The sequence below is a fragment of the Homo sapiens genome, chromosome 3, assembly GCF_000001405.40.
Source record: "Homo sapiens chromosome 3, GRCh38.p14 Primary Assembly".
Lineage (NCBI taxonomy): Eukaryota > Metazoa > Chordata > Mammalia > Primates > Hominidae > Homo > Homo sapiens.
Genome location: NC_000003.12, coordinates 181,442,830 through 181,465,561, shown reverse-complemented (window position 1 = coordinate 181,465,561; position 22,732 = coordinate 181,442,830). Strand labels below are relative to the sequence as shown.

General features: G+C 35.7%; 1 long non-coding RNA gene across 3 annotated transcripts in view, besides 1 other annotated feature; it reads right to left on the bottom strand.

Annotated features, from left to right (window-relative positions):
* SOX2-OT (SOX2 overlapping transcript) overlaps positions 1–22,732 on the bottom strand; it is a 685,549-nt gene that overhangs the window by 276,667 nt on the left and 386,150 nt on the right. The window lies entirely within an intron of this gene.
* Positions 10,562–11,063: an enhancer, noted in NCBI's record as "NANOG hESC enhancer chr3:181172287-181172788 (GRCh37/hg19 assembly coordinates)". NCBI's record gives its function as "activates a minimal SCP1, AML or CMV promoter by ChIP-STARR-seq in primed H9 embryonic stem cells {active_cell/tissue: H9 hESC(primed)}" and the evidence as "EXISTENCE:reporter gene assay evidence [ECO:0000049][PMID:30033119]".

The window sequence follows — 22,732 nt, the reverse complement described above, 5'->3', positions numbered from 1 at the left end:
CCTTGAAGAGTAAAATTCTGTTATCATATTTGGGTGGTCGTAAATTCTCCACAAAGTCCACATATTGATTTATAAAAATTTGGATAACTTAAACTCATGAATTAGAGAGCAATTATTTATTTTTTCAATAGGCTTCTTAGTGTAAAATAAAATTCATACCAGTTTTCCTTTAAATAATAATATCTTGTAGTATATTTACTGAGTGATTTGCAAAAAATGTGTTTCTATAGAAGCTGTTTGTAAAAATCGTGTGACACACTTATAACTATTACATGAGAAAACATTCTCATATAATAATGTGCTAAGACATTATTAACTAACCAAGTGGTACCCAGATATTTGGGAAAGAACTTGTTTTAAGACTAGGTCCAGGTACTGTTATTACACAGTTCATGGCAATGCACTTTAAAAATTGTGAGGTGCATTAGGAACATAAAATCCTTATTTCCAGGGAACTTCGGAAGCCTAAGGCAATATATTGAATAGACAAAAGTGAATTTTAGACTAGTATATGATGGCATCTTTGTAAAAATATACAGTCATATCATGTATGACATATATTACACATTATACATATTTATTTCCCCAGACGTTTAAAATATTTTAAAATTTAAAAATAAAAAAACTGCACACAAAATATGGGGGAAAATATGGGAAAAATGCAAAAATACTTCTGAAGAATAGAACTGATATTGTAGGAATGAGGTGTAATTTTGGTTTCCACTGTATACTTTGTATGGTTTTGTTTGAGCTGTGTGCGTTTTAAGTACACATTATGCTTTAATAATTAAGCAACAAATAAAGGCAAGGTGAAAAATAGCAATGAGACAGAGACCAAGATGAAGATACTGAGTTATTTGCCTAAATTTATAACAGAATAATTGAATCAGTTGAATTTACGCCTTTCTAAAGAGAAGTAGAAACTTTGAAGTAAGAATCCTTTTTGGCTACATAAGGGCTGGTATCACAAATACCTGGATTGCCTCTAATACGCGTGAGGTCTTCCAGGAGCTAGCTTAAGCAACAGTGGTTTTAAAAAGGCAATGAATGCATCACCAGTGAATTCCACCAGCTATTGATTGCATTTTGATATGTAAATAATGTCATTGTCATGTCCACTTTTTCTAACAGTGCTTTCCGGAGTAGCACGTATTCTTTAAAGAAAGGGTTCTGTGGGTAAATATTTTGGAAAACACTGAATATAACAATAACAAACACTTTTTTTTTTTTACAGCAGGCCTTCTTTAGTATTCAAAAGCAGGGATGAAGTATGCACTCTCCTGAACTATTTGGCAATATCTCAGGCCAGCCCAGTGACTGCACACTGTGGAAACTTCATCTCATGTTTGATGAATGGAGAAAGGGGCAGGAGGGAGTTAGCAAGAAATGGGGATAGAGGAGACTAGAATATGGAGTATATCCTCACCATTTTTCTACCTCTCTGATGCTTTGCATTGTCTGTCTAAATCATCGTAATGAGCATTGATTTCAAAATCTAGATTTTGAGCAAATGAAATTCATTTCTACCACAAATAACCTGGTGAGTTTGCAAAAGAAAAGCCAGATTCCCCAGGCCATGACCCCAAAGAGTTTGATTCAGGCATTCTAAAGTGAGATCCAGGAAAAATGTTTTTTACAAGGAAGGAATTCTTATCTTTGCAATTAGAAGAACAGGCTGAGAAACAGTGATCTATAATAATAAAATTTAGATATTTCCTCTATAGGATAATAATAAAATGGAATAAATTTACCTCCAAATGATGAGAATTTTCAAAGTGGGACGCACACAAAGAGGAATCAATATAATCTTGAGAATGGTTTAAATGAGTACTTGATATAAATTCAAATGAAAAATTAAACTTCTTGAACACCTTTTTTTTTTTTTTTTGGAGGAGTATCTCTCATTCTATTCTCCTATGTCCTGCAAAACAAACTGGCCACAAAGATTTGGCCTATGCTTGTTCTCTACTCTGATCTGGGATCATGTGAATCCAAAGCACAAGTTAGTTAAAACCTGCACTAGCTTGAACTGAAGTGCCCTGGAGTAGTTAAGAATCACATTTGGATGTGTCTCCTGGTTCTGCCACTTATTAGTTGTATGATTTTGATAGAGTTACTAAATCTTTCTAGTTCTCAGGCTTTTCATCTGTAAAGTGGAGTATTATTTTTATTTATATTGAATAGCTGTTGTGAGGTGTAATTAAATGAAGTAATTTGAAGTGCCTACTTGTAGCTATTAGTTATTACATATGTATTAATTTAACAGCTTCCACGTGTGGGATTTTTTAAAGTGATTTTAGTGTTTGTCAAAAATTCTAATGAACATGTTCCTTGGTCCTGATACACAACAGAGTTGAGAAATTTGGTATCACATAATTTTATTTATTTCTTATATTGGTATTTATTATCAATAAATATTTTCCATTATGAAAAGTAAGAACAAGAATCTAACAAATGACTTGGACTCAAGCTTACTTTTGGAGTATTCTAGAAGGCAGTTTTGATTTCATAGGCTTTATTTGTTGCCCTCATAAGCTGTGAAAATGTTCTATGCAATCCAGTAATGTAATATGTATGCAATATTTTCTACATTTCTCATCAGTGTAGAAGTAGGGCAAACATTGTTCCTTAGACTTTTTGTCCTCATCTGAAAAATGCAGCCACTATATTCCTTGTTGTCTTTGTATCATCAAAACATAAACACCAAGTGACTATTTTATGGCTCATGTTCATTTTACATTGTAACTGTCTCCCAAACTCTTATCCTCAATAGAGACCAGTATACAAATGATCTTCTTCTCCAATCTTAAAAATAACCTGTAAAAACGTATGAACAATGCAAACATTCAGTCCATGGAGTAAAAATAATCTCAACTTTCTTTGTCTCTCTCCTTTTTAAAGAGTAATTATCTGGAGTAATTAAGAATATATACATTATTTCGTAATGTATATATTAGAAGAGTCAAGATTCTGCATGCTGTGGCTAAAGGTCTTGACCAATCAGTGACTTTATATAAATTGAACACTCAAATTTCAACCAAAATAAGCCCTCCTAAATCATTAGATTCTTCTGGCTATGTGGAGAAGTAAACTTTAAGTGATGACACATTAGGTAGGAATTATTCTATATTCCAGTCCACGTAACTCACTATTAAGCCAATTTCAAGCCCAGAATATTAGCTTACATTCAGTATCATTGATTTACAGCTGAAACAGCATGTGAGATGTTGAGTTGAATTCACACTATTACAGGAAAAATTCTAAAAAGTGCTTTTTAATTTACACATTTAAAGAATACAAGATTCATCTATAGATTAAAGTAATTTAAACCAATAGTACTTGAACTAGATACTTACAGAATAAGTTTTCTTTATCCTGTCCTTTTGAGTATAAAACTTTAAAGCTGGTCTAAACTAACAAATATTGAGCCATTAAAATATAAATTCTCCTAGAAATTTGTGCCTGTCTCTCAACAAAATCTGAATTCAGTTTGATAAAATTTAAATGCTTTCATATATCCTAGCCAAATCCCAGGAGAGTCTTTAGAGAGAAAAAGAGGCTCCTAAATAAGTTGTTATCCACCTTGATTGCACATTAAAATCATCTGGGGAGCTTTAAAAATACTTGATGCCTTGTGACGCACCCCGAGAAATTTGATATAATAGGTCTGAGGTATACCCTGGGCATAAGGATTTTAAAAAGCATCCCAGCAGAGGTGTGGAACCACAGATCTCAGCACTGTTTGATGCCCAAGGAAATGAAAAACAGTCCCCTATTCTTCCCCAGAGGGTCAGGGGATGTGATAGTAATGACCATCAAAGATGTCCACACCCTAATACGCAAAACTTGTGAATATTACCTTGGGGTTCTGCAGAAGTAATCAGGTTAAAGGTCTTGAGATGGGGAGTTTATCCTGGATTGCCTGGTTGGCCTGAGGTAATGACCGGGGTCCTTATGAGAGCAATGCAGGAGAAGTCAGTGTGAGACAGAGGCTGAGTGACAATAGAAGCTGAGAGATAGAGAAAGACATTCGAAGATGCTATGCTGCCTGCTAGCTTTGGAGATGGGGGAACGGGTCACAAGCAAAAGGATTTATGTGGCCTCTGGAAGATGGAAAGCTCAAGAAAATAGATCTTCCTTAAAGCCCCCAAGAGGGAACACGGCCTTACCATCTCATTTTAGACATCTGACTTCTAGAACTGTAAAATAATGAATTTGTGTTGTTTTAAGCCAGTAAGTTTGTGGCGAGTTACTACAGCAGCAGTGAAAAAAATAATACAGAGGAGGAGGAGGAATTCTGTCCAGGAGCAATTTGAAATGATCTGATAGGGAGCATTGTGCCCACTTCAAAATCCACACACCGGAAAACTCATCAAGAAAAGCCAATATCAAATTGCCATGATCCACATTTTTATTAAATTTGAAATACATTTCTTAATCCTATTTTCTTCATATGCAACCATACTTTTTGTTGTGTAAAATCTTCTTAAATACAAACTAATTGTCAAATATTATTACTGTCAACAAAAATCTCAGGTTAAAGCAAATAAATTAAGATCTGGGCAAACATTTTGGAAAAGCTGCCCACTATGGTGATATTGACTGGCTTTCCAGGTTTGCAGGTCTTGGCTTGACTACGGTAACTTTCAAGTACTTTTCTGGTAGATTCTTGAGTATAAACATTTAGTATTATGAAAATGTCCTTTTGAGGGCTGAATATTATGCATTGTCTATGTTGCCTTACCAGCCACCACCAGCAATTCTGATAAACAAAAGGAGAGCCACTGCATTAAAACACTGGTCACATTTTGATTTTTTAGGCCTTGCCTGGAGTGTCCCCTGACCATCTCTGGTTTAGCTTGTAGAAATTTTCAAACCCAGATTCCAATTCAACCTGAACATCAAAGGCCTAGAAAGTACAGCTTTTACCTTACAGTTCTATGGTGACTCTCTTTCAATTAGCTTAGACTATTAGCCTTGAAATTAATTAGACCTAGGGAGGTGGTCTATTTATAACAGTTGTTCAATAAATCCTAGTTCTCTTTACTGCAGATTATACATAAAATCATTAAAAGATGGGAAGGCTTAGATTAAAAGCCAAATTAAACAATTACAATTTGTGTGTCTATGGACAACTTCTTACCTTCTGTGAGTTTTTAATTCAGAAATATGTGCCAGACAACATAAAAATATGTTCCTACAATTTTTTGGTAGCATGCATATTTTCTAGTATTACAAGTATTAGTGACATTACTATGAGGGATCAATCTGGACCTATTAGCCAGTTCCAACGGAGGCACAGTCTCCATTAATGACTAAACACTATGAGCACACCTCTACCGGAACAATCACCTGCAAAACCTAGAGAAAGCTTTTTCAGCATACTCCTCTAGGAACGGTACATACTGCTTAATCGAATCATCTCCCTATAGATAGTTTTTATTTTAAAATATTTAAATTCTGTCGACTAAATGTAAAATAAATATCATAAAAATCTCCTCCTAATATTCCTAAACTATGCCTTCAAATGAAGTTTTGGGTCTATCAACAAAGATGAGTCAAAGACGTGGTGCCTAGTGTCAGTGTCAGGGACAGCAGCAGGCCATGGGGCTCATGGTGAGGCTGAACTGATGAACCAGACCTTCTGTGAGAACTTTGGCTTATCAAGACCCCAAGGGTGTATATGAAAACAGCAAGTGATATTTATTTATTTTCTCTAAATACATTTTACATGAGTCCCCAAATTCTTAAAAGGATATGATGAAAATCTTACATTGGAAGGTCGCAGCTCCAGTGTCTGATCTGGGCAGATAATTTGGACAAAAACAAGTACATATGTATCCTTCTAAAGGAGATGCACCCTCACCACCCACCATGAAAAGTTGAGCATCTCAAGAGTAATTCAATCTGTTAAGTAACAGTTAGAAAAATACATATTTTGTATGATAACTTGTTTTCTTAAGCAATATGGGAAGTTGGGCTGCTTAGCTACTATTCCCGTGCTTCTGTGACTAGAACCCCTTTATCTCACCAGAAACAAATTTTAGCCTGATAATTTTTTCTTTTTTATTGTTAAGTGCTATGTTTTATTTCCAGGTGAGTTTTACCCCCAAAACATGAAAATTCAGTTATATCAGATTTTTTAGGTCCTCATATGTGGTTTGTATACCAAGCAAAGTCTAAGAGATTATTTTCACCATTAATCTTTGCAACTAATAAAGATGGATATAAACAAACAGTCTTAAAACCAGAGGTGGGCATTTCACTGGTAATGCTTTTCCATAGCTCCTTGATGAAGATGATCAACTAAAGGAAAACTTCTGCATGATCTATTAATAGAGAATGAGGATTAATGAAGGATTATGTCATAATGATTCTGCCTGCAGAGTAGCTTCAGTTCTGGTCCTTTGCTGCCAAAATACAGTTCTCATTTCCAACAAACAAAGTCTATCTGAGAGAAAGCACAGAGCCCCTTTAGAACTGGAAAGTCCTGTGCATAATAATGAATGTCTAACTCTTCTTTTGCCAAAGAGCTTCAGCACTTTCAATGTCATAGGTCAATGCAGTGATTCAGAGGGGGCCTGATCCTTATCTAAGCTTTTGCAACAAAATTAGAATGTGCTGTAGTCTTATTAAAGAAATGTTTGTTCCTCCATCAATGAGCTGAAAAGAAAGCAGCTCAATGTACTTTTGCAAATTACAGCAATAAACTGCTTGAATTAACTGCTTTATTACAAATATTTAATTATTCTGAGGGTTAAATATCCAACATTTTGGAAAGGCAAAAATTAGCAGTCCACTTGATAACCTACTTCATTTAAAATCTGCTACAACGGTGTATTTTTTTTTTTAATTTTTAAACAATTCCAATTTTCAGTTGTCTTTATTGTGAATTCAGCCAGTTTCCATTTGGAATTAAAAAGAAAAATACATATTGCCCTTGATTTTGAAGTAAGATGTCAAGAAAATTAAATTCATAACTCATGAAGAATATAAAAGGCAGAACTTGTTTTTACTTCCTAGTCACAAAAATGAAAAAGGACTCAAAATATCAAGTCAAGGTCAGTCAAACTTTGATTAAAACCTATTTCAAGATTTCGATAAAATAACATTATCATCATTATTAAAATGGTTGCTGTATAAATGTTGCTTAAAGTACACTCCCCTTCAAAATAAAAGGGACCATGAATTAAAACTTTATGATAAAAGAAAAACTCGGCAAATACATATTGAACAAAAAGCAAATGTTATCAAAGGAAAGTTTTTTATTCCAACAAAATAAAACTCAATTCATAATCCAAATCTGCTTTTTTTTTTCATTTATTAAGTGGTACCAAGAGCAGATGAAAGTTATTTTTAAAAATGGATAACTTTTTCTGGGTTATATTCTTAAAAAATAAGAAAGTAGAGAGCATTTTGCCATAGAGCAAAGAAAAATATTACAATAACAGAAAATGGATCAACCAGGATATGCTTCAACAGAGGGACATATCAAAGCATTATTATAGTCTCTCTCCACTTACTGTTTGGATTCACTAATCTACATCACTAAATTGACCATTCAGTGCCAGAAAATCTGCCATGTAGGTCTCGACTTTTCATAGCAGCTCTTAAATGTGTATTCGGAAACTACAAAGTGCTGAATATATTTTCAGCCTTTTTGTACTACGATTTACAACTAATGACCTTAAGCAATGTCATGCATGTAAAACAAAATTATGAGACCACCCTGGTTTAGAGCCGAATAAAAGTATAGAATCAAACTTCATTATCATTCAAATTTAATAGGGGAGAAGAACAACAATAAAAAAAATCCATAGTAATATAGATAAATCTGTTTTGCAGTTTTACTTTGTAAAAATGTCCTCCTTTGCTTGTATTTTGCTATTACCAGCTCAGGGTAAGTAGACAATTATTTAAGCTTAATACCAAAAGTAATAATGCACTGTACACATTCAAAATCCTTGTTTCGCATCAGCCAGTGCCTATGGGGATAAAACATCTATCAGTTGTTCCTTAGCGTAATAGCGAGTTTGAAAATTTGACCGCCCAGGCCGACATTAGTGAAATCATAGTTTTAGCTTGATTCAGAACCCAACACAGGAAATCTTGATACTGGGATGACTCCATTGGCAGCGTGCCTCCTGATGCCCACAAGAACTGCGGGCTACTTTCTGTCCCACTACTTCCCATGAAAGAAGTCCTTTTACTTCCCTGCTGTAGTTGGCACACTGCCCTTTTCACGGACCCAACGAACCGTCATCTTGGATGTAACAAATTAGTACATTCTCAGAATAATAATAAGTGCAGGCATGAAAACACTATTGTTTTTATTTGGAAATGAAGTAACTCATTTTAGCTGGGTGACTTTTTCAGTGTAGCACCATAGGCCAAAAAAGAAAAAATCTTTTCTGAAAAGAATGGTCAATTTCAGGAGAGACATGACACATCATTTGCTGTAAAAATCAGATAAAGGGAAAAGAATAGAAAAAAAAATGGCATTTGTTGTAGAGTAGTTAAAAGAAAATAGGAGGTTCAAGGGAAGTACAAATGTAAAACAAATAATGTATCCATTTCAAAGTACAATTAGAGAAATAAGATTGGAAATAAGTACTATATGGAGTTGATTTTTGATATCAGATTAAAAATCTATTAACTGATTTTTCTGCTTGTAACTGCAAAAAATATAACTAAAATTTTTTAAAAAAGATCTTCAGGTATATTAGAAAAATAGTTAAGTGTAGAGAATGTTAAAACACTAGAGAATAACACAAACATGTTTTTATATGTTAATGATCACGTCAAAATTTACTTTCAGTTTTCAAAAAGATTTCTTTCACCACTACATGTGTGTAAGCATATGCCCGTGCATTTCCAGCCTTAGGATTATTTTTTTTACTAACTATGTTAATAGGAAAAGAAAAAAGTTAATATTAGCAAATTTGCATATAAGTCAAATTTACTTCAAAGCAGAGCCATAAAATTTATATAAAATACTTTTTCTTATTATTCTGGAAGGGCCATCATCACCTTTCAATGCCAAGAACTCTGAAAACTATAGAAACTATTGTAATGATAGTCTTTATGACAGCTTCAACTGAGATTTGAATAGCAAGCACACTTTTAAGTAGACAATAAGATGAAATTAGAACTGCCAAGAAGTATGAAATAGTAACCAAATAAATATATTTTTTCAATATTCCAGACATTGTCCAATGTAGATGTCAGCTCAAAATTATAGTCTAAAAATCAAAACAATCATTCATATACTTTCTCTTTGCTCTAGACCTGATCCTTTAAAACAAATTATGATATTTTATGTAAAAATGTACCACAAATTTACTAAACTTTCTGGTTCAAATGAGTTCAAGAATATCTCATTATAAATGGAGACAGTCCTGAAAAGGCAGCCAAGCATGACTAAAAAGATCACTCTTTTACACAAAAAATAGCCTTCTTATTTTACCCTTTGTTGAAAAGACATTTGGCCAGCCACAGGGGAAATACATAATCTACTTTTATATTCAAATAATTTATTTGAAAACTCTATGGCTACAATGACCCTAAAACAATTCTGGATTGAATATACATATGACATGGGTTTATGTGATCTTAATCATTGACTTGTTTTCATGTGTTGGCAATGATTTTGGCAATTCTTTTTTAAAAAAGAAAAACACATTCATATCCTTTATAAAAATTACCATTAAGTAAAATTATATCTGAAATGAAATAAGATGGTATTAATGTGGTATAGTTCTGTAAATAATTTTATGCATACAGTCAAGTTTGAATATTGCAGTTCTTTTCACACAACCATCTATCAATTTAATCTAATATACATTCCAACACACAATCTCTCTGGTAACAACATGTCAAAAATTATGCCATCATAATTTGCCTTTTTGTAAAGACAAGAAGCAAAACTTGAACATTTCAAGATTTTAAAAACCTGCCTCCACATAGATTTGCTCCTTTCAATTCTGTGAATTTTTATTTCAGTGTTTTGACAATAAGGTTGATTTTATGAACTCTAAGCTATGGTGAACTTCACTATGAGATATCTTCCCCACCCCCACCCCAAGAGCCAAAAACGCCAGCAGTAAATGATGTTTGTCCATTTACTTTAAGTAAGACACTGTTTCTTTCATTCAGTTGCTCAATATCCAAGATTATATAACAGCAGAGAATAGCATACACTGAGGAGGAAAAGCTTAAAGCAATTAGTTTTCTCCTAAGTACTTTAGCCCTCCTTATTTAGGTTTTTAAAAAACAGGCAATCATATAATGAATTTCAAGCAGCCATACAAAGCACTTTAAAAACTGTTTCTACAGTCTTAATTTCCTTTCATCATTGTACACATAAAAAAGAGGAAGCAGCTATCACATTCATGTCCTAAAATTGATCACTCAGATACTTGGGAAAGTTTTCTATGCTGTCCACCCATGCTTTTTTTTTTTTTCCTGATTTGTCAAGGTACAAATGAAATATTTCCAGCTCTGATAAAGAAGACCAAAATGTAAAATGTCGACTTGTCTTGCACATTCTGGGTGCCTCCCTAGACTCTGCCACTCTCCCAGCAGAGCGGAATGAATATCTGGGCTAACCACACATTTCAGGACAAAGGAACTAATTCATGGGGGAGGGGAGACCACACACCATTTATAAGGTTTGTTCAGTTTACAAGAAAACTATTGTCAATGCTTTGTTGATTCATTATGAAAGACCCTGCGTGACAAAAAAACAAGTGACCACCTCCTTGCTGAGTTTCACCAGCATACTCCCTGCATTCAAGAGCAGCCCAGGATCTCCTGCGCTAATTGTTATTTAAAGAAACTGCAACTGTAGGTACATGAGATAGCTCTGATCACAGATAGAGCCATCAGGTTGAAGATTTGATGAAACTGGCTCTGGTACCCAAAAGATCGCACACAATAGCACAGTGCTTGCTATTGCTGTCAAAACTCTGATGTGAAGAACCAAATTCCACTAGAGGGAGTGAAAAGAGCCCGGAAGGATCATAGAGATGCTGACTCTATGCAGGGTCCCACCACTAGGACATTTTAGTCACTACGAAATCTTCTTGTCTCCCCACCTACAAAATGGGACTAAAATATAAAATATTTTTTAAAGGAAAATCACCTTAAAATCCTTTGTTGGAAAATGCTATACAGTGCACAAGTATTATCTTCATCATCCATTGAACCTTTGTACTTTTTTCTCTGTCCTGAGGGAAATAATAAATTGACATATTTTCTATCATCAGAGACCCTTTTAAGACCACAATGTGATTGCGCTCCAGTATAGCTCACACTTATCCCCATTAAAAACACACAAAGGGGTGAAAGCAGGGAAAGAAATAGGTAGGCATAAAGGGCAGCTCAGATATACTGTTGTACAACATGGGCGCTCTCTCCTAACCTGCCCCAGCCTCTAAGATGGGGAATGAACCACCGCACAAAGAAGTCTGCAAACGGGCCCTGCATAAGTTCCAGTTGAAACTGGCTGCTCTGTGGGTAAAAGCACACAGGTTGCTCTCCCGAGTGGCCATTTGATTGCAGATCAGCTACGTGTTCTTCTACTGCTCCAACAACCCTGAATGGCGCCCTGTATCTTTTTAAGTGGTTGGTTTCGTTGGAAACATGGGACAGAAATCTGTTCCTCTTTGTGGCACTCACATAGTAGCATTGTAGGTTTTTCTGTTTTTTTCTCCTTCTTCTTTCTTCTATAAGGAATAAAGGCTCTTAAAAAATAAACCCAGACCTCCATTAAGACAAGTTTCTCGGTGGCCTGGGAGAGGGGAGAATCCTTCCACTTCACATTCCTGCTCCTTCAGTTTGATCAGCTACGAGATTTCTCCAGGCCACCAAGTAGTTCTAAGAAGAGAATAAAAGTGTTCCAAGGTGGTGGGGAAGCTGGCACTCTTATACATTGCTGATGGAATGTTATTTGGTAAAACTCTGTGGAGGGCAATTTGGCAATTTCTCCCCAAGCCCTACTCTCAGGGGTTTATCCTATAGCTCTGGTCCTGCATGCATGAAATGGCTTATGTATAAGGTTGTTTACTGTAGTACTGTTTGCAATAGCAAAAGATTGGAAGCACCTTAAATACCCATCAATATCCATCAGTAGGGCTGGTTATATTATGATGCTAGGATACAAGGAAATAGGAATGAGGAATTGATATAAAATGATTTCCAAATATAATGTTATGAGGAATAAAGAGTATGAGCTGTATGAGACTCCTTGTGTTAAAGAAGGGAAGGAAAGATTTACATACATTCCTTGTGGGCCCCATGAAAGCAGGGTTCACGCTTGTTTTCATTACTCTTCTGTCTTTAGGGACAGGAAATACTTTGTTTCAGATGAGGAAAGGTCTTAAAATCAGTTTCAATAAATGAAGGAGAGCAGGAGAGTCAAGAATAGATTAAAAAAACAAATTTAAAAAATCTATAGTCAAAGTTATATACAGAACTTGATAGAAAATTTCATGAATACTAGAAAATATTAACAATGGAATTGAGAGTGACTTTTCTCCTGCTGCTTTATCTTTTCATCTATCAATTTTTTCTATGAGGATGCATGTATTTAAGAATTTAGTAACAAAACAAAATGCCACATTGAACTTAAATAGAATCAGTTGTACTTGGTGACTCTTTGAATGCTTGGTTTGGAAGAGGAGGGAAGCAAGGATGGTTCTGAGATCTCCAGCTTAGAAATCTAAGTGGATGGTGTTGAGGTTAACCAAGATAAAGACTTGAGAAGGCTGATAAGGAGAAAGGCAGTGAGCTTCACTATTAAACGTTCCTCAGGGTTCAGGCTGTGAGCTTACCTTAGGGCACCCTGAGAAATCTTTCCAGGCTCCAGTAACCTCTCTATACCCAGTCTACTGTAAAGAATGTCCAGTCATACTTCTACTAAGGGATCATCTGGGAGCTGCCCTTAAGACACAGTCAACCACATTGTTCTTTTATATTTATTTTATTTTTATTTATTTATTCATTTATTTCTTGAGACAAGGTCTCACTATGTTGCTGAGTGTTGAACTCTCGGCCTCAAGTGATCTTCCTGCCTTGGCCTCCCAAAGTGCTAGGATTACAGGCATAAGCCATCACACCCAGCTCATATTTTCTAAAGAAACATAAATTATGCAAAGCATTGTTGACTTTCACTAGTGTTGTTTCTAGCGATATGCAAATAAATGCACTTGTGTAGGACAAAAATTCCTGCACATACTAACTGATTACATAGAAACAGCTGAGGTTAAAAAAGGTGGTGCAAAGCAAAGTTGAGACCCTCTATTTGGCACCCTCAAGGGCCCCTTCCTTATTGATTCCCCAGGGTTACGAGGATATTCGCTGCTATTACCAACTTTGCAACCTGAAGCCCATCCTGCATGTGTTATCCATCAGGCCTCTGCTCCCCAGAGCCTCTCCCTTTTTTTTCCCCCATGTAGGATTCTCTCTTCCCATCTCCAACTCTAGCTTTGCCCTTTGTGCTGAGATTCAGCTCACTAAAGTCTATTTGGCACTGATCCTGTGCCATGTGCTATGTGAGTCCCTGGGACTCAATAGTGAAGAGGACATTGTTTCTGCCATCAACGTGTTGCCATTTTGGTGTGGTGCTGTGACGGGGCAAATACATGGGCTACGGGGCATCTTATACAGAACAGACTTGCTGGCAGAGATGGCATCTGCAGTGAGCCTGGAGAATGCCTAGGAGTTAACCAGGTAAGCAGGGTTGGAACGGTCAGAGTAGAGAAGAACGTTCCAGGTTGAGGAGAGGGTTGGGTAGTGGTTCAGTACTGCTACATACATGTTTCATGTTATTAAACTTGTGGTTTTTGATAGTTTGTGGGTCTATTTTAGTTAATATTAATTATTACTGGAATCAACCCCACTTTTCCTAAAGCCCTAGGAGTATTTTTTAAGCACATGGGATGTTACACAAATTTGAAAATGATAGAATATACTATTTTCATCTCTATTTCAAAATCTCTGATGGGGAAGCATAATAGAATTCCCTACTTCTCGGAAAAATGTAATGGATACTCAGGATTTTGTCCAGTAGAGGGATTCCCAAAGAGTCCCCAGGACTTAATGGACCCCCCAGAAAAATAGAACTATTCAAATGGATTAGGAAGTCTTGCCTTCTCTATTGCCCTCTTATAGCTCTACCAATATATTGGCTATTAAAGGCTTATAAGAGTTCTACAATAAAAATCTTGTTTAATTTTGTTTAAACCAGAGTTTTCTACTTTTATTTTGCTTTATGACCCTCTTTCTCCTTTTTAGACAGTTCCATTATTATTTCAAGAAACTACTGATTCATGGAGCACAGTTTGATACTGATCTGGTGATGAATTCCCTTAAAAACAACATCCTTTCTGTTATTGTTATTACTGTTGCTATTTAATGAGTACTTGAAATATACCAAGCACTTTGTTAAGTGCTTTATTAAAATGATTTTATTTAATCCTCACTGTAACTCTATGACATATCACTGTAATCTTCACTTTACAGTTGGGGAAAATGAGGCCTTGAGAAATTAAGAAACCTTCCTAAAGTCAAACCACCAATAAGTGGCAGAGTTGGGATTCAACAATTTCTGTCTGACTCTAGAGACGTGAACTCCTCTTCTTGCCTGAGCCGTAGAAAAGTGTTTCTTGATGGTGTCTAAATCTATCTTTGGACCAGACTTTTAAAGGGTAGAACAATCATATTATGGAGGGCTGTGAAGAGCAAGGAGCAGAGGAAAAGGTAACTCAGGGTAGAAAGAACAGGTGCCACTTACACATTGCTTCTTCCCACCTGGCACTTCTCTCTTAGGTATTGTATGGTCTCTTAAAATGAGCCTCAGTTTCCTCATCTGATTAATGGACATATTGATACATCTCAGGATTGTGGTAAGGCTTGAAGTTAAAATCTGCAAGGTGCTTATAGTACAATGCTTCAGCATGCTGATCTGAGGTACTAGTGCCTGTCACATGCAAGACACTAAGTAATGCTGATTATGTGACCTTGGACAAGTTTCTAAACCTCGCCATGTCTTTAGTTTCTTCACAGGTATAATGGGGATAATAATGTTACCTACATCATGGTGGTCACTGTGAATATATGACAAGTTAACACTTAGGGCACATAGTAAGCACTGAATGGGTTTGCCATTTTTATTATTTACCTACACATGACTAACACTATGGAGCAGCTTCAGAGAACACACCCAGAATCCTGTCACCAGAATGAATGGCACCACACTTTCCAACTCCAAAGATTCTATTGTCTACAAGCACACTATCACTCTTTCATCCACACAATTGTCATATGCTTCAAAAATATACCTAGACTACAAGTGCTAGTAACTCTTGAGCAAAGTTCCTTAAAATTTAAGGGACGATGATTTTGTAAAGAATAATTAATTCCTTTTTTCAGTGAATACTGATTTGGCTTGACCACAGGTGGCCTATGAAGTTGTATAAATGGCCTGTTACCACTGCCACAGTTGCTTTCTACATTGCCCAACCAAAAGAGAATGAAGAAACAATCTAATTGCTTCACCATCTCTGCCCTGATAAAAGGTAATTCCTAAGCCCATGACATATACACTATTGTGCCATGGCATGGCACCACATCATTGAATTCTCATCAGGGTGAGGAAACACTATCAATCTTCCCATCAACTATGAACACAACACTATCTTCCTAAATTTCCATACAGGTGAGTGCTGCCCAAAATAAAGGCACTTTGGAATGATGTTGAAGCAATTACACAGGAAAACTGAAATCATTGCATCTAACTGGGTGCACAAAAATGGGGTTTACTAATTAATTGCCTTGGTTATTAGAAAATCTTATTTGCTTTAACTCACACTGAAACTTTTTTTTTTTTTTTTTTTTGAGGTGGAGTCTCGCTCTGTCACCCAGGCTGGAGTGCAGTGGCACGATCTCGGCTAACTGCAAGCTCTACCTTCTGAGTTCATGCCATTCTCCTGCCTCAGCCTCCCGAGTAGCTGGGACTACAGGTGCCCAACAACACGCCCAGCTTATTTTTTGTATTTTCTGTAGAGACGGGGTTTCACCGCGTTAGCCAAGATGGTCTTGATCTCCTGACCTCGTGATCCGCCCGCCTCGGCTTCTCAAAGTGCTGGGATTACAGGCGTGAGCCCCTGCGCCTGGCCTCACACTGAAACATTTCTAAACAATATACTTTATTGCACTTATTTCATAAAATAAAATATAACACTAATTCAAAGAGAATAATTTGTAAAACATGGAAAAATATAAAGAAAATTTCAAGGGTCTGAATATTGGTGTCTCTCCCAAATTCATAAGTTGAAACCCAAGGCGACAGTAGTAACAGGTGGGGCCTTTTGGAAGTTGATTAGGTCATAAGGGCTCTGCCCTTAGAAAGAAGTCCCAGAGAGCTAAGTGGCCCCTTCCAACATATGAGGACACAGATACAATGTGCCATCTATGAGGGCTGGGCCCTCATGAGATACCAAATTTGCTGGTGCTTTGATTTTGGGCCTTCCAGTCTCCAGAACTGTGAGAAATGATGCTAAATATTTAAAAGCCACCTAGTCTATAATATTTTGTTATAGCAGTCCAAACGGACTAACGCAAAAATAAAAATCATGCATAAGCATCCAACTTTCTGTTAAAACCCTGCTAATGCTTCAGCCTTTTCAATACACATACATAACCATATACCTATATATGCATATTTCACAAAATTAGAATTCTAGTGTGTATATTGCTTGATAACCTGTTTTTAAAGTGTTGACATTGTATCATGAGCATTTTCGCATCATTAAGTATTTTTCTAAAATATTTTAATGGCTAAATGATGTTCCATTATGTGCATACACAAAAATTTATTGCAAAACTTTCCTTAGCATCACAAATAACTGTGAGAAATTGCCTTGTACATATCTTCTAATGCCTGTTTCTGCTTGTGAACTTAACATTTCAGGAGTGGAATTATTGGTTAATAAAAGATACATGCATTATAAATACAGCTGGCCTTATTTGGGGCTATAGTTTGAGTTTGACTGTATAATGAAAAGAAAAAAGTAAAAAGTAAAAAAATCCCCCAATTCTCTAACATCCAAGTACTTTAATAAACTAGACCATGAGCTACCTTTTCAGCTTTGTCTAAACTTTCTCACCATCCTTTCTCCTTTCCTCCTGCCTCTTTCCTCACACTTTTCCCAAAGTGGGACTAGGGCCCCAGGCATGGGAGCACTTGCTATTCTTTTTAAAGGATGTTATTTCTAATTGCCAAACAATAATTGTATATACAATTATTATAATGTAATTTTAATATTTATATTATACTTATATAAGTGTAATATTTACTTATTATAATTATAATATTTATTGTACTACATATATAATAAATGTAATATTTATTCAATGATCATTTGGGAACGTGATGTTTGATATATGTTTTCAATGTGGAATGATTAAATTTGGCTAATTAACAAATCCATAACCTCACATACCTATCATTTTTTGTGATGGAAACATTTAAAATCTACTCTTCTTAGCAATTTTGAAATATACAAAGCATTATTATTTATTACAGTCACCATTCTGTGCAATAGATCACTAAAGCTTATTTCTCCTGTCTAACTGAAATTTTGGATCCTTTGATCAATATTTCCCTTTTTCCCATCCACTCCCCTCCCTTAGCCTCTGATAACTATCATCCTACTCTTTACTTCTATGAGCTCAACGTTTTTAGATTCCACATATAGGTGAGATCCTGTGGTATTGATCTTCTGTGCTTGGCTTTAATGAATTGAAATCAGTATTTTGAAGAGCTATCTGCACTCCCATGTTTAACGAGCACTATTCACAATAGTTAAGTTATGGAACCAACCTAAGTGTCCATCATCAGATGAGTAGATTTAAAAAATAGGGTACACACACACAAAAGAATACTATTCAGCCTTAAATGGGGTAAAATCTATCATCTGCAACAAGAAGGACGAACCTGGAAGATATGCTAACTGAAATAAGCCAACCACTTGATATCTTGAATTATTATTGAGTTTTAACAGAACTGAGCCTCTGTTCCTTCTACTCTCTCCACCTAGAGCACCCTTTTCAGGCTATTGAGTTTCTACCTCTTCCACAAGTCCCATCTACTTTTGAACGAATGACTTCATTTCTTTGTGCCTCAGTTTTCACACTCATCAGATGGATGTAAGGATGCTACTTGCCTTCAAATATTGTTTGAGGTTCAGTAAGTTAATATTTATGAAGGGCTTAAAATAAGGCTTGCTCCATGGTGAAACCCCACCTCTACTAAAAATACAAAAATTAGCCGGGCATGGTGGTGTGCGCCTGTAGTCCCAGCTACTTGGGAGGCTGAAGCAGGAGAATCGCTTGAACCCGGGAGACGGAGGTGCCAGTGAGCCAAGATTGTGCCACTGCACTCCAGCCTGGTGACAGAGTAAGACACTGTCTCAAAAAAAAAAAAAAAAAGTAATCATAAAATAAAATAAAAAATAAAAAAATAAGGCTTGCTGAAACTCTAAAAATGCCCAACAAACGTTAGTTGTTTAATATACTAACATACTACCTCATCTCTGTTGCTCAATCAACATACTATCTCATACCTGACATACTATCTCATCTCTGTTGCTCAATCAATTTATACATAATTCCATTTACTCTTTAGGAGAACTTCCCACTCTAGGATTTCATCAAATGACTGCGGAGGTAAAAATCTGGAAAAGACCTCAGAGATCATCTATAGCCATGTTCACCAAAGTATAATCTGCCTGTATCAGAATCACCTGGGGAGCTTGTTAAAAATGCAGATGCCTGAGCCCCACCCCCACTCAACTGATCCAAAATCACAGGTGGTGAAACCTAGGAAAATGCAGTTTTAAAGCTCCCAGGTGATTATTAAACACAATGAAGTTGGGAATTCACAGTCTAAAACTCTAGGTCTGCAGACGAGAGAACAAGGCCATGAAAGGTTAGGTAATTCTACTTAGATGAAAGTGAAAAAAAAAAAAAAAAGCCCATCTAGTTTGTGAAATGAAAGAATTGCCATATCTCACATCACTAGTGAAACACAAATGATTTCAAGGATGATTCAATGATGCTGTGGTCCCAAGCTTTTGTGCTGAAATAAAGGAAGAACATGAGCTCAGATCAGGCTTAAAATGTGATTCCAGATCTGTTGGCAGGAAAATTGATCAAAGTTCGACCTAATTGTGGTCTCTCATTTATGGTCAAAATGTGAATCCCAATGAAGAATTGATCTCAGTCACTGAACAGTGAGTGACACTACTGTAAACACACATCTATACCCTGCAGGACAAAGCAGCTTGCTCCTAATAAAGACATTTCTATTTCGTCTTGCTCATTTAATTTGACATTTGTCTTTTGGCAGAAGATGCATTATTGAGACAAGGAACAGAGATGATACCACTTTCCTTCTGGAACCACATGAAGAAATCTTATTTTATTTTATTTTAGGAGTGAGCGGATATGTGAGTAGAGGGAAGATTTCCTGTATAATTACTTCTGAGATACATGTTTCCATCTGAGGAAAAACCATACAAAAAAAAGAAGTACATTTTTAATTAATCAGACTATTCATTTTATTCAAGGACTACATCTATTTTTAAAAATGAACATAGTTGATTCTGAAGTCAAACACAATAGTGGTGTTAGACTACCACACCCATTGATTAAATCATGTTATTGGAATAGAGCTCCAACTTTAAATAAATAAAATAAAGACCTCCAAAAAAGATAATGATACTATATTTCCTGGTAAAGCACATGATATACTTCCTGAATGAAAAAAGAAAAATTTATCCACAATTGTTGTTTGGAAAAATAAGAAATTGTAGTGTCTACAGGAAATTGCTGTAGCTAGGGTTTTGTTTGTTTGTTTGTTTGTTTTTGAGATGGGATTTTGTTCTGTGACTCAGGCTGGAGTGGAGTGGCACAATCATAGCTCACTGTAGCCTCAACCTCCTGGGCTCAAGTGAGCCTCCCACCTCTGCCTCCTGAGTAGTTGGGGCTACAGGTATGTGCCACCAGGCCTGACTAATTTTTAAAATTTTTTTGCATAGACAGGATCTCACTATGTTGTCCAGGCTGGTCTCATACTCCTGGGCTCAAGTGATCCTCCCAGCTCAGCCTCCCAAAGTGCTGGGATTATAGGCATGAGCCACTATGCCTGGCTGTTGCTATGTTTTTATTATTGCTGTAGTACTACTACTTAAGAGAAAAATGAATTATTCAAGTGTACACAGTGCAAATGGGCCCACTGTCTCAGGATGGTTATGTTGTGTCTTGACTAATACTGCCCTTGCATCTTAGTGGGACAGCTGCTTGAGAGGGTGTGTCATACACACAAACACAGCATAGGCTTGGCCAGGTGTCTGCAATGTGGAGAGAATGCATCCCAGAAATAGTACTTTATCCACTTCCCTTTTACTCATTGGTTAGTGGCAGACTCATATTGCCTTTTGGCAGTCTGTCCTCAAAACCAGAAGTATACAAAAGTGACATGGATCACAAAAGAGTGACCATTCAGGTAAAGGCAAAAAGATATTGGCAAAAAAATAAAATGAAAACCTGAAGAGTGACCATAATATTCATGATCATCCAAAGGGTCGGATCTTGGGGTACACAACATTTTAGGGATCATCAAGAACATCCCTTCATTTCTGCATCTCCCTACTTCAATCTCCACCATATCCATCACACCATGATCCCATCCTCAGCCACATCACCACGTTCTCTCTTACTGACACTCTGTAGGAACTGGTTTCTGTTGGCCTTGGCTTTGAAATGTTGTTTAAGTGGCCAAAAGGCTGGAATAATCAAACATCTTGCCTCTGCTTCCTCAGAATTTCAGAACTCCATCTTAAAGATTTCAAAGATTTCCTGGCTGATACCCAGTTTTCACTCAGCTGCAAAATTCATTCCACCCACTTCCATAGGAAAAGGCTGTTGGATTATGGACTTCTGGCACACTGGAAAATCTTCTAACATCACACGGTACATTTCCCTGTCTGGTATACTTCTCAGGCAACTTGTCCATCTGTAGCTATAATAGATGAGGATAATTTCATCAAAGTATGGAGCTTCTCCATTTCTTACATTCCTTGCACAATAATCAAAAAGTGTATTCTGTTCTATATTTTCACCTAATCCAAAAATTGTATTCTCAGTAGGATGAAACTGTTTATACTGGAGCCAGGACAAATAACCTGCAGATACTGAAAAGTTGTTTTTTTTTAACCCATGTGATGCATATATTACATCTGTGAGCTGTGATTTAAAAACAAAATCGGAAACTGGCTTTGTCTTCACCGGTTCAGTCCCAACCAATGCTTAGGATGGTGAGATTTCCATATTTTACATTCCCATCTATGCATTTCAGTATTAGATTTATTTAGGAAAAAAAGACCTTATATGAGCTCTCACAGTTGGCTAGTTTTTCACAATGACTCAGTACTGTTTTTGCTGTGCTGGAAATAGAACATTCTCATCTATCCTCCCTATGTGAATAAAATTGCTTTGAATCTGTCAAGCCTCATCTTGTAAATGTAATCCATTCTCTTAATTTATCAAAATAATTTTCAATTTTAATTTTTTCCAATCAATTTTTGGTATTATCCAGCTTAACAAGCATTTTATTCTGCATTAAAGTAATGTATACAATATAAAACTATTCTAGGACAAATTCTAGAACTATATTTAATATGCTAAAACTGGCAGTGCACTGACAATAATTTTCTCTTTTAGTCATCCCAATCAGCCATGACCTCCTGATTATTTTACTAGTTTTATATCACCAAGTTACATAAGAAAGAAAAATTGTCAAAATGTGTGTCCTTTGCTTTTGACTTTTGTATCAGATTATGCTTACTATAGGGGTCAATTAGATTAACCTGATTAAGAGTCAGATGATATTTATTGATATTCGTCATTGACATGCCAATAACATCTGTGGCAATATCCTAAATGCTAATAAATTGATGTCTTGGTGGAAAGTACCTACTTTGTAGATTGTTTATTTAAAAATCCTAAGAAATGTATTTAATTGTCTGTAATATCATTGTCATGTAACATATGGCCACATTTTAAAAGTATTTCATTATTTAATGTCTATATACTTAATTTGAGAACCTTGAAATTAAAATAATAAAAATGAAGAGAAAGGGGTGGTGTCTTATTTAACAATAAGACATAAAATGTTATTGATAAGTAAACATTTTAAATGACAATTCCAATCCTTTGAAATGTTACCTAATGTATTATATGTTAGAGAGCCTCTATTCTATTAAAAGAGCATCAATACTTGAATTATAAATAAAAAATTTAGAAATAATTTAATTTACTTTAAAATAACAAATAATCTTTGAAGAAAAAACTACGGCAATTTATTTTTTATGAAAGGAGTATTTGTAGTTACTTTATCATACACTTTTTTTCAGTAAAAGGGGAATTAAACTATTACAGGACACCTTGTTAAGTAATTATATAGCAACATCACTGTGCAATTAAATAGCCATCAGTCCCTGCAGCTGAGAAATTTCAGGTAATTATTCAAAGATAATTTAATAGGAGAATTACTGTATTCAAGCAAGCATTAGCTAGTAATCTACCTCAATTAAAGCATCCAATTAATTTCAGAACCTTGATAACAGTTGCCTTTGGCAAAACTATCCTTTCCCCTCATTTGATCCTA